A 13,664-nucleotide genomic window follows, 5' to 3' on the forward strand; every position below is an offset into this window, starting at 1 on the left:
GTAGCTGGGACTACAGGCATCCACCACCATGCCTGGCTAATTTTTTGTATGTTTAGTAGAGACGGGGTTTCACCATGTTAGCCAGGATGGTCTCGATCTCCTGATCTTGTGATCCACCTGCCTTGGCCTCCCAAAGTGCTGGGATTACAGGTGTGAGCCACCGTGCCTGGCCTAGCCAGTCTATCATCAATAGGCATTTGTATTGGTTCCAAGTCTTTGTTATTGTAAATAGTGCTGCAATCAACATATGTGTGCATGTGCCTTTATAGTAGAATGATTTATAATCCTTTGGGTATATACCCAGTAATGGGATTGCTGGGTCAAGTGGTATTTCTGGTTCTAGATCCTTGAGGAATCACCACACTGTCTTCCACAATGGTTGAACAAATTTACACTCCCACTAACAGTATAAAAGTGTTCCTATTTCTCCACATCCTTGCCAGCATCTGTTGTTTCCAGACATTTTATTGATCACCATTTTAACTGGGGTGAGATAGTATTTCATTGTGGTTTTGATTTGCATTTCTCTAATGACCAGTGATGACGAGCTTTGTTTGTTGGCCACATAAATGTCTTCTTTTGAGAAGTGTTGGTTCATATCCTTCACCCACTTTTTGATGGGATCATTTGATTTTTTCTTGTAAATTTGTTTAAGTTCTTTGTAGATTCTGGATATTAGCCCTTTGTCAGATGGATAGACTGCAAAAATTTTCTCCCATTCTGTAGGTTGCCTGTTCACTCTGATGATAGTTTCTTTTGCTGAGCAGAAGCTCTTTAGTTTAATTAGATTCCATTTGTGAATTTTGGCATTTGTTGCAATTGCTTTTGGTGTTTTATCATGAAGTCTTTGCCCATGCCTATTTCCTGAATGGTATTGCCCATGTTTTTTTTTTCTAGGGTTCTTTTTTATAGTTTTAGGTCTTACATTTAAGTCTTTAATCCATCTTGAGTTAATTTTTGTATAAGGTGTAAGGAAGGGGTCCAGTTACTGTTTTCTGCATATGGCTAGTCAGTTTTCCCAGCATCGTTTATTAAATAGGGAATCCTTTCCCCATTGCTTATGTTTGTCAAGTTTGTCAAAGTTCGGATGGTTGTAGATGTGTGGTGTTATTTCTGAGGCCTCTGTTCTGTTATATTGGTCTATATATCTGTTTTGATACCAGTACCATGCTGTTTTGGTTACTGTAGCCTTGTAGTATAGTTTGAAGTAGCATGATGCCTCCTGTTTTGTTCTTTTTGCTTAGGATTTTCTTGGCTATACCGGCTCTTTTTTGGTTCCATATGAAATTTAAAGTAGTTTTTTCCAGTTCTGTGAAGAAAGTCAGTGGTAGCTTGATGAGAATAGCATTGAGTCTGTAAATTACTTTGGGCAGTATGGACATTTTTATGATATTGATTCTTCCTATCCATGAGCTGGAATGTTTTTCAGTTTGTTAGTGTCCTTTCTTATTCCCTTGAGCAGTGGTTTATAGTTCTCCTTGAACAGGTCCTTCACATCTCTTGGAAGTTGTATTCCTAGATATTTTATTTTCTTTGTAGCAATTGCAAATGGGAGTACACTTATGATTTGGGTCTCCACTTGTCTATTATTGGTGTGTAGGAATGTTTGTGATTTTTGCACATTGATTTTTATCCTGAGACTTTGTTGAAGTTGTTTATCAGCTTAAGGAGATTTTGGGCTGAGGCAATGGGGTTTTCTAAATATACAATCATGTCTGCAAACAGAGACAATTTAACTTCCTCTCTTCCTATTTGAATACCCTTCATTTCTTTCTCTTGCCTGATTGCTCTGGCTGGAACTTCCAATACTATGTTGAATAGGAGTGGGCATCCTTGTCTTGTGCCAGTTTTCACAGGGAATGCTTCCAGCAGTTGCCCATTCAGTATAATACTGGCTGTGGGTTTGTCATAAATAGCTCTTATTATTTTGAGATATGTTCCTTCAATACCTAGTTTATTGGGAGTTTTTAGTGTGAAGAGATGTCGAATTTTATCAAAGGCCTTTTCTGCATCTATTGAGATAATCATATGTTTTTTTCATTGGTTCTGTTTATGTGATGGATTACATTAATTGATTTGTGTATGTTTAACTAGCCTTGCATCCCAGGGATGAAGCCAACTTGATCGTGGTGGATAAGCTTTTTGATGTGCTGCTGAATTTGGTTTGCCAGTATTTTATGGAGGCTTTTCACATCAATGTTCATCAGTGATACTGGCCTGAAATTTTCCTTTTTCGTTATGTCTTTGTTGGGTTTTAGAATCAGGATGATGCTGGCTTTATAAAATGAGTTAGGGAGGAGTCTCTCTTTTTCTATTGTTTGGAATAGTTTCAGAAGGAATGGTATAAGATCCTCTTTGTACCTCTGGTAGAACTCGGCTGTGAATCCATCTGGTCCCAGGCTTTTTTTGGTTGGTAGGCCATTAATTACTGCCTCAATTTCAGAACTTGTTATTGTTCTATTCAGGGATTCGACTTCTTCCTGGTTTAGTCTTGGAAGGGTGTATGTGTCCAGGAATTTACCCATTTCTGCTAGATTTTCTAGTTTATTTGCGTAGAAGCATTTATAGTATTTTCTGATGGTAGTTTGTGTTTCTGTGGGTTTAGTGGTGATATCCCCCTATCATCTTATATTGTGTCTATTTGATTCTTCTCTCTTTTTTTATTAGTCTGGCTAGCAGCGTATCTATTTTGTTAATCTTTTCAAAAAGCCAGCTCCTGGATTCATTGATTTTTTTGAAGGGTTTTTAGTGTCTCTATCTCTTTCAGTTCTGCTCTGATCTTAGTTATTTCTTGTTTTCTGCTAGCTTTTGAATTTGTTTGATCTTGTTTCTCTAGTTCTTTTAATTGTGATGTTAGGCTGTTAATTTTAGATCTTTCCCACTTTCTGATGTAGGCATTTAGTGCTATAAATTTCCCTCTAAACACTGCTTTAGCTGCGTCCCAGAGATTCTGCTACATTGTCCCTTTGTTCTCATTGGTTTCAAAGAACTTCATTATTTCTGCCTTAATTTTGTTATTTACCCAGTAGTCATTCAGAAGCAGGTCGTTCAGTTTCCATGTAGTTGTGTGGTTTTGAGTTTTTTAATCCTGAGGTCTAATTTGATTGCACTATTGTCTGAGAGGCTGTTTCTTATTATTTCCATTCTTTTGCAATTGCTGAGGAGTGTTTTACTTCCAATTATGTGGTCGATTTTAGAATAAGTGCTATGTGGTGCTGAGAAGAATGTATATTCTGTTAATTTGGAATGAAGGAATGAAGAGTTCTGTAATATCTATTAGGTCTGCTTGGTCCAGAGCTGGGTTCAAGTCCTGAATATCCTGGTTAATTTTCTGTCTTGTTGATCTAATATTGACAGTGGGGTGTTAAAGTCTCCCATTATTATTGTGTGGGAGTCTAAGTCTCTTCGTAGATCTCTAAGAACTTGTTTTATGAATCTGGGTGCTCCTGTATTGGGTGCATATATATTTATGATAGTTAGCTTTTCTTGTTGCATTGATCCCTTTACCATTATGTAACGCCCTTCTTTGTCGTTTTTGATCTTTGTTGGTTTAAAATCTGTTTCATCAGAGACTAGGATTACAGCCCCTGCTTTTTTTGCTTTCCTCTTGCTTGGTAAATATTCCTCTATCCCTTTATTTTGAGTCTATGTGTGTCTTTGCATGTAAGATGGGTCTCCTGAATACAGCACACTGATGGGTCTTGACTCTTTGTCAGTTTGTGTCTTTTAACTGGGGCATTTAGCCCATTTACACTTAAGGTTTATATTGTTATGTGTGAATTTGATCCTGTCATCATGATGCTAGCTGGTTATTTTCCACGTTAGTTGATGCAGTTTCTTTATAGTGTCATTGGTCTTCATATTTTGGTGTGTTTTTGCAGTGGCTGGTACTGGTCTTTCCTTTCCATATTTAGTGCTTCCTTCAGGAGTTCTTGTAAGGCAGGACTGGTGGTAACAAAATCCCTCAGCATTCGCTTGCCTGTAAAGGATTTTATTTCTTCTTCACTTATGTAACTTAGATTGGCTGGATATGAAATTCTGGGTTGAAAATTATTTTAATAATGTTGAATATTGGCCCCCATTCTCTTCTGGCTTGTAGGATTTCTGCAGACAGATCCACTGTTAGTCTGATGGGCTTTCCTTTGTAGGTAACCTGACCTTTCTCTCTGGCTGCCCTTAACATTTTTTCCTTCATTTCAACCTTGGAGAATCTGACCATTCTGTGTCTTGGGGTTTCTCTTCTTGAGGAGTATCTTAGTGGTGTCCTGAATTTGAATGTTGGCCTGCTTTACTAGGTTGGGGAAGTTCTCCTGGATAATATCCTGAAGTGTGTTTTCCAACTTGGTTCCATTCTCCCTGTCACTTTCAGGGACCCCAATCAATCGTAGATTTAGTCTTTTCACATAGTCCCATATTTCTTGGAGGCTTTGTTCATTTCTTTTCAATCTTTTTTCTCTTATCTTGTCTTCATGCCTCATTTCAGTAAGTTGATCTTGAATCTCTGATATCCTTTCTTTTGCTTGACCAATTTGGCTGTTGATACTTGTGCATGCTTCATGAAGTTCTCGTGCTGTGTTTTTGGCTCCATCAGTTCATTTACGTTCGTCTCTAAACTGGTTATTCTAGTTAGCAGTTACTGTAACCTTTTGTCAATCTTCTCAGCTTCCTTGCATTGGGTTAGAACATGCTCCTTTAGCTCAGAGGAGTTTGTTATTACCCACCTTCTGAAGCCTACTTCTGTCAATTCCTTAAACTCATTCTCTGTCCAGTTTTGTGCCCTTTCTGGAGAGGAGTTGTGATCATTTGCAGGAGAAGAGGCGTTCTGGTTTTTGGAGTTTTCAGTCTTTTTATGCTGGTATTCCTTATCTTTGTGGATCTATCTACCTTTGATCTTTGAGGTTGATGATCTTCGGATGGGGTTTCTGTGTGGGGGTTCTTCATGTGGATGTTGGTGTTAACTGCTTTCTGCTTGTTAGTTTTTCTTCTAACAGTCAGGCCTGTCTTCTGCGGGTCTGCTGCAGTTTGCTAGAGGTCCACTCCAGAACCTATTTACCTGGATATCACCTCAGAGGCTTCAGAACAGCAAGGATTGCTGCCTACTCCTTCCTCTGGGAGCTCCTCCCCAGAGAGGCACTAACCTAATGCCGGCCTGAGCTCTCCTATATGAGGTGTCTGTCAACACCCGTTGGGAGGTCTCTCCTAGTCAGGAAGCATGGGGGTCAGGGACCCACTTGAGGAGCCAGTCTGTCCCTTAGCAGAGCTCATGCGCTGTGCTGGTAGAACCCTCCTTGTCAGGATTCGCTGCTTTCTTCAGAGCTGGCATGTAGGAATGTTTAAGTCTGCTGAAGCTATGCTCACAGCCGCCCCTACAACCAGGTGCTCTATCCCAGTGAGATGGGAGATTTATCTATAAGCTTCTGACTGGGGCTGTTGCCTTTCTTTCAGAGATGCCCTGCCCAGTGAAGAGGAATCTAGAGAGGCAGTCTGGCTACAGCCTCTTTGCTGTACTGTGTAGGGTTCTGCCCAGTTCTTAGCACTGTGAGAGGAAAACCGCCTACTCGAGGCTCAGTAATGGTGGACGCCCCTCCCCACACCAAGCTCCATTGTTCCAGGTTGACTTCAGACTGCTGTGCTGGCAGCGAGAATTTCAAGCCAGTGGTTCTTAGCTTGCTGGGTTCTGTGGGAGTAGGGTCCTCTGATCAAGACCACTTGGCTCCCTGGCTTCAGCCCCTTTCCAGAGGAGTGAATGGCTCTGTCTCACTGGGGTTCTAGGTGCCACTGGAGTACGAAAAAAAAAAAAAAAAAAGACACTCCTGCAACTAGCTCAGTGTCTGCCCAAACACTTGGCCAGTTTTGTGCTTGAAACCCAGGGCCCTGGTGGTATAGGTACACGAGGGAATCTCCTGGTCTGCTGATTGCAAAAACCATGGGAAAAGCTACTGGGCTGGATAGCACAATCCCTCATGGCTTCCCTTGGCTGGTAAAGGGAGGCTCCCCTGCTCCTTGTACTTCCCGGCTGAGGTGATGCCCCACCCTGCTTCTGCTCACCCTCTGTGGGCTGCACCCACTGCCTAACCAGTCCTAATGAGATGAACAGGGTACCTCAGTTGGAAATGCAGAAATCACCCACCTTCTGTGTTGTTCTTGCTGGGAGCTGCAGACTGGAGCTGTTCGTATTTGGCCATCTTGCCGGAACCTAAAATATATATTTTTAAAAATCTTAGAACTCCTCTTTTAAAACCATCAGATCTTGTGAGACTTATTCACTATCATGAGAACAGCATGGGAAAGACTTGCCCCCATGATTCAATTACCTCCCACCGGGTCCTCCCACAACACGTAGGAATTCAAGATGAGATTTGGGTGGGGACGCAGCCAAACCATATCAAGACCGTAGCTGGAAGGGATTGACGTGGGTTATTATATCCTATTGGTATGCTGCTGGTGACGATTTGGAAGAGAGGAAACAGTAATGGAGAAGACAGAGGGAGACTTTGCTGCAGCAATTTTCTTGAGTTGGTGAAATGGGATTTAGTGAAATAGGATAGGATCTAGCAGACACATGAAGTGGGTGGCTTTAGATAGAGCATATCCTGTCACCATTATACAGAAAAGAATGCAGTACGTGTGGTCCAGATGTAGATAGTATGGTAGGTGTGGTATGGGAACATGTGAAAATTATCTTCTGATTACTCTGATGTCTCAGTTAAATGAGATGCAAGGCCAGCTAAGAGTCAGGAGATGGGGACAGATGAGAGAACTTTGAGGAGAGACAAGAAGGTGAGAAATAGACAACCAGGAGAGTGGGAGAGACATTTGACTAAGGCACTGTGGTATGTTTCCTGGACAGCAGTGAGGACCTTCTGAAGGTTAGTGCTCATGAATTCAAAGCAGAACCAATCCATGTGGTTGTGTGTTTTCCTAAACCATGTTTGCAGGCACAGAATGGGTGGCAAATTGGCCTTGAACATGGTTTAGGTCTCCCTCCCTTCCCGGGCAAGAAAAGGGAGAGATGCTGAGAGTATGTAGAGTATTGATGGACTACAAATTTCAAGTTGAGTAGGAAGAAGAGGTGAGGAAGGACAGTGCAAAAAAAATCAGTTTTAATCTATGTGGGAGGAACTGTTGCAATGTGGACACAGCAGGAGAAGCTGTATATGGAGCTGGTAGTAAGTATGGTATTCTTAATAATTTAGAGGAATAGTAGTAGAGTGTGGTAGTCTGGGAAATACCAATAAAGTGGGTGGCTGAAGTGGGATGGAGGACACAATTTCTATAGGGGAGGAAGTCAAAGATTCAAGCAGTCTGGGTCTTGGATAGATCATCTATATGGATATTGAAATCATCAATTTAAACTATCTGTATTGCCACTTACTAGGATACTTACAGGAATACTGTAGATTCCCAGGGAATATTTGTTCAATGAAGAGTTGCTCCACAATAAAAATCAAATTGCAATCTGAAACTACTTTCTTATGTGCACAGGTAAGGCAGAAGTAGATTAATCTTATTCTGAAGTGAGCAAAAGTGAGGGTAGTAATCTCTAAAAATAGAGTAGCAAATTAGTTCTTTGGGGGAATTTCTTGGTAAATTCTCTCTCCCTGTATCCTGAGAGCATTTAGCTTTCCAGAGCCCTAACAGAATAAATTCACATCACATCTACAAGCATTTTTCTCTTTAAAAATATTTCTGTTTCCTTTATAATTGGATGTTTGGAAAGAAGATGAAAATAAGCAGAAGGTATTATGTGCAGAGAAGATGAATGGGAAAAGAGTCAGTTGAATTTGGATTTTCTTCATTATCATGGTCCCTAGAGTTTAACATAGTGTGTTTTTTTTTCAATTAAAAGTGAGATGTTTAGAGCTGATACTCTCATAAGAAATACTGAGTACTTTGAGAACGTATTGCTATATTTATACTGATAAATGGATTGTGTTTCCAATCTTTGGTGAGTGGGTTGTGTAGGTTGTAGAATGTATTTTTGCATACAAACAATGTTCAATATGGAAGCTAGGTTCCTAGACAAGCTACTTAATCATAATGTACCCAAGATAAAGAGTATTATTTCATCTTAATAAATAAGACTGTATGCTTATTATAATACTATGTTAATATAATTGGAAAGAGAGAAGTGTCTCCTTTTCCTTGTAGCTATTTTGACTCAAAAATTAGACAATTCCAGCAGTGTTTCTCCCCTCTTAAAGAAGGGTCCATGTCAAAGAATTGAAAGTGATTCTTGTATACAGCCTAATCACTTAGTTCCCTCTGGAAATAGAATGTGGGAGAAAATAAAGGATAGTTGTTCCAGAAGCCCATTTTGGCTGTGGGTCCAAAAAGCATCTATGATCCAGCTTTATCAGTAAAAAAAAGCAGGCACTGGATTTTACCCTCTGTCTTGTTGCTTGGTCTAGTTCCGAAATGAATCCAAATCTTTAGAGGAGGATATTTACTCCACATATTCTCCTCTAAAGATTTGGATTCATTTGGGAACTAGAATCTTGTGTTAAAGTATCAGCTATCAGTTGGTATTTTGACAGAGTCAAACCCCCAAAATATATAGCACTAGACCAAGATGCAGTCTGGTGGCACACTTCATGGATGCAAGTGAAGACAGGTTTTTCCACCCAAATCCTCCAACTTCCCTACTGTCTAAGAGTTTCTCCCTGATGTTGACATTGTTCTCTCCCTCTGCTTCTCTTCCACATCCTTTTTCCTGCCACGAATGTCACGTTCTTGAAGGGGGTATATGTTGTAACTTAAAGACCCCTGGAGAAAACTTCCTATGTGTCACCATTCTGCCTGTCTCCTATACACCTGTTTGTTCTTTGATGGGTGGCAGCATGGTTTGCAAGAAAGCTATAACTCTGGGCTTATAGCTTTTAAACTTGGGTTTAAACTTGGGTTGACCACCTACAGGTTCTGGAGACTTGATAAACTTAATTAGCTACTGGAGACTCAGTTTCTTCATAAGTAAAATAAAAGATGCTGATTAATACCTGACTTGAGGAATTTCTGTATGAATAATAATGTGCTCATATGTGTATCTAATATGGTGTGTGGCATAATTATGTATATTATTATTAACTCCCTTTTGCTAACTACAGAGAGTGGGAATTATTTACATTTTATAATATGAAATAGCTGAGGCTCTGAGAGGTTAAGCAAAGCACAGATCTGTAATTCCTATCCAGACTGATCTTACTCCCATTACATTACACTCTCTGCCTCCTCAACTGCGGCCTTTCATGGCATCTGCAATGATGGGGTGCTATTTGAGGTGGCTGCTGGTGCCATCCCCAATATCCTCCCAGAAAACAGCTGTCAACCAAAAGAAGGTGACTGTTAAGGAATGACAGAATGCCTAGCTTATTCTAGGCTCCTTCCAAGACAAATTTCAACGTCTGGTGATACACTTTCTAACAAGAAATTATACCATTTCCTTTTTTTTTGAGATATCAGTGGGCCCCATTAAAATGGCTATTTAATGGCAAATTCAAGAATCCCAGCTTGATTAGAAATGATTATCAAAACCAAAAAAAGCAATGTAATAGTAAGTGAATGGAGATAGACATGTGAGACACATTATTTAATTATTTATAGTCGGAGATGGCATAGAATGTAAAGATAAAAGTATGGCTGATCATGGTTTCTGGTATAAAGGAAAAACACAACAGATCTCCCAAGGTAGGTGGCCCTGAGTAGGAGTAACTTTGTCATTACACACCCAGCACACATCTTTCAATTGCCAACTCCCCCCCAGACACACACACACACACACACACACACACACACGAATTACTAGTGTTTCAGAGGTTTTGAGTTATGAGTAACTTTTTGATGAGACAAGTCAGTACTGGGAATTTTTTTTGTATAAAGTTCAAAAAGTCACCCAAATCATTCCCTCAAAGGCTTAAGCTGTCTTTCAAGAATTTATTTTACTTATATCACAGAGAGATGGGAAGACAAAATAATAAATAGAAGGAATGAAAACTGCTGAAGGAAACTATGAGCTAGAGAGAAGCACAAAAGGAGAAGAAATATTAACACTAGGGTAGAGAGTAGGTGCTACCTATCATGAGGGACAAGAAAACATTGTGGTCTGGGATGGCTCCCAGCCAATGCAACGAAGTTTATTTGCTCTTTTCATCAGAAACTCTAGGGAAAGACATAATCATTTTTTATTGGAATTTGATTGGTTTTTAGCTGTGTAGGTGGGAAATAACCTTGGATGGCTGTGTTAGTCTTAAGAGTCCCAGGAACACTCCTGTCTGAGTCCTATATTGTAGCCACCTGTTGGTGGTAAATCTGTGTGCGATTGATACCTGTGGGTGGATGGCAAGGACACCACACTCCTTTATTCAGGGAACTTTGCATGTACTTTTGGTTCTAAGAAGGACCCTGGCAACAAGGACATGAATTCACTGTAGGAACCATATGTCTCACGCAAATAGCTACTTTTAGGCAGGACTGCATTGAGTTTAGAAGCTTCTCTTACTGCAATTCAGGCTTGTGTGATCTTGGTCAAAACCTTACTATCTCTGTGTCTCAGTTTACCTGCTTGTAAAAAGAAGACAATGTACCCATAGAGTTTCCATAAAGAGCAAATATAATGATATGTTTAAAGGCTTAGCATAGTGTCTGATACATAGTAAGTTGAGTCAGTAAGGATTCTTCATTCAGGAAAGCAGAAGCTCTAACTGATATTTTAATAGGGGCAACTTAATGTAGAGAATGGGTTAAATAGGGGTTGGAGGACTCAACAGGCAGAGTGAAACATTAAGGTAACACAGGGATATTAACTGGGAAAATGAATGAGGGTGAGATCAGAACCTAGAAGCTTGGGGGAAAAGCTAAGGACCCAGGTTTCTTGGGAGAGGGCACTGTCCAGCTGGTACTAGTGTCTCTGAGAGAACATAAGAAGGCTAATGTTGAAAGTGTGGGGGTTATGGCAGGCTGGGGGGTAAGGGGACAACTGAAAATTGCGACTGTCCAGGTAAGGAGCTTTACCTGGTGTGGAACAGAAAGGAACAGAATAAATGCACGCAACCTTTCCTAGAAAGGAGGGAAAGAGGAGACAAAGGAGATACCTGCTGGTTGTAACTAGAAAAGAGGACAAACAGAGGGGAGGCAGGGCCTTGGGTGACTCATTAGTTTGACCTCAAATTTATTGCTTGTTTACTTCTGCCTTGCAGCAGGTGTGCTGAGTGTTCTAAGAAGTGAAGACACTTTCTCATTCTCCAAGTGCTCAAAGAAGGCTAGAACAGTAGTCTCCCCTTAACCATGATTTCACTTTCCTGGGCTTCAGTTACCCATGGCCAACCACAGTTTGAAAATATTTAATGAAAAATTTCAGAAATAATCAACTTATAAGTTTCAAATTGCATGTTGTTCTGAGTAAAGTGATGAAATTTTGCATCTTATTGCTCTGTCCTGCCCAAGATGTAAATTATTCCTTTGTCCAGCATATCCATGTGGCATATATGACATTTATCGTTTAGTCACCTCAGTAGCTATCTCAGTTATTGGATCAACAGATCACAAAGAAGGAGAAGGGTAAGTAGAGTACGATATGATATTTAGAAAGAGTAGGGGGCAGAGAGAGAGAGAAGAGAGAGGTCATATTCACACAACACTTATTGCAGCTGATTGTTATTTGTTCTATTTTATCATTAGTTATGGTTGTTAAACTCTTACTGTACCTAAGTCATAAATTAACCCTCATGATAGGTATACATGTGTAGGAAAGCACATAGTGTATATAGGGTTTGTATTGTTCACAAGTTCAGGCATTCGCTGGGGGTCTTGGAGCATTTCCCCTGCAGATGAAGGGGACTGAAGTACAAAAATGCCTAAAATATGAGGCAAAATTCTAGAATCAGCCCTGCTCCCAGAAGTAGCAGCAGTATTTTCTTCTTTGCTGAATCAGACACAGTTTTTGTCCTTTTCAAATATTATGGGTTTGTTTTAGACTATGACAATAGTAAATGGGTTCTGTATGACTTCAGATAGAAAATGATTTAAAATTATGGGCAAACCCAGTGAGGACGGAGAAAACACACAATTCTGTTTCAAAATGATGAGCTATTACTCTCTAAAATTGGCAATTTATGATTAATCTAATCATCTACTCAGATATCCATCCACCCACCAATCCTTGCAAAAATCCATCCATCCATCCACCCGCTTACCATCCTTTCATCCACCTACCCACCCACCTATGCTTCCATTCATCCATCCATCCATCCATCCATCCATCCATCCATCCATCCACCCATCCATCCATCCACCCATCCATCCATCCATCCATCCATCCATCCAACCATCCATCTACTTTGCCCGCCTGACCTTTACTCCTTCCCTCCTTCCATCTATACAGCCAACAAATCTCTAGAGGGCAATGTGCCTACTTACAATATATCAGACCCAGGATGCTGGGACTATTACAAAAGACTACAATATAGTTCTGACCTGTAAGGAGCTCACAGTCTAATGGAGAAGAGAGGTATATAAAAACTAAGTTATTACCAAATGGCAAATGGTTTTGTAGAGGCATGGGGAAGGTACTGATTTCTTGGTGTAATGGGTAGTATTACAAGGAAATCTAAAGCAACAGAAAAACAACTCCTAGGATGTTCAATGTGGCATCATGGTCTCAGATCCTGGATCTTGCATTACTGGCTCTGTCATCTTAGCAAATTCCTGAAATGTTTTGCGTCTTGTTTTTTTCATATTTAAAATGGGACTAATAGTATTTAGCTCATATGATTACCAGTAGGCTGAAATTAATCAACAAATATAAAGCCCGTAGAGTCACATCTAGCACATAGAGAGCATTAAAAATGTTGACTAAATTGGTATCTGAATGGCACCTGACAGCTTAAATTCATTGTTACATTTAGTCCTTAAAATCTCTCTCTGCCTCAGGGAAGTAGGCAGAATAGTTATTGCTTTCCAGTCAGGGACAGTGAGGTCCAGGGAGATTTTTTGAAGGAGTCACAGAACTTCAGAGTAGTGGAGCTGGAAATCCACCTCAGAACTTCTTCTACAATGTTCTTTCTATTTATGCCATGAAGTCTCATATATTGATTTGGAAAAGCAACTGTTATTCCCCAAGTGTCATAGCTGCTGACTGGCTGCAGGTGGGCTGGCTGTAAACAGAGCCAAATGACACAGGCTGCAGCACCACCAAGTCACTGCTGCTTTGTCCACATCTGCCACTCAATACATGGTCCCTGGTGATGAAGAGACAGAAGGCGTGGGTCAGGAAGCTGCCAAACACCAAATATACATCTTAATTGGTTGCAGGCAGTCACCTTCATCCAAGTCCTGGACGGTAAAATGTCTCCCACAGGCGTTCATACAATTAGGAAGTTAATGTCCTTTTAGAATAAAAACTAGCTTTGGAGTTTGAAGTCAACTCGAGTGAGATATTTTAAATTGATATCCCATTCAAAATGTGGAGAAGTTTCCTTGATTGATTTGGTTTGTGGGTTGAGTCTTATGAAAATGCATCAGAAACATGAGTGCTGCAATATGTGAAGCTGAGAGAGAAGCAGAAAAGTATGCAGGAGCCCAGTGCTTCCATGGAAAGCAGTCTCAGACCACAACCTACAGCTGTCACAGAATTAACGGGGGCATGGTAGTTATGGAAAGAGATGTAGAAG

General features: G+C 40.3%; 1 long non-coding RNA gene across 1 annotated transcript in view; it reads left to right on the forward strand.

Annotated features, from left to right (window-relative positions):
- The window catches only part of LINC01182 (long intergenic non-protein coding RNA 1182), a 276,050-nt gene that overhangs the window by 84,457 nt on the left and 177,929 nt on the right, over positions 1 to 13,664 (forward strand). The gene's annotated exons all lie outside the window — the stretch shown is intronic.

Source organism: Homo sapiens, chromosome 4 (genome assembly GCF_000001405.40).
Source record: "Homo sapiens chromosome 4, GRCh38.p14 Primary Assembly".
Lineage (NCBI taxonomy): Eukaryota > Metazoa > Chordata > Mammalia > Primates > Hominidae > Homo > Homo sapiens.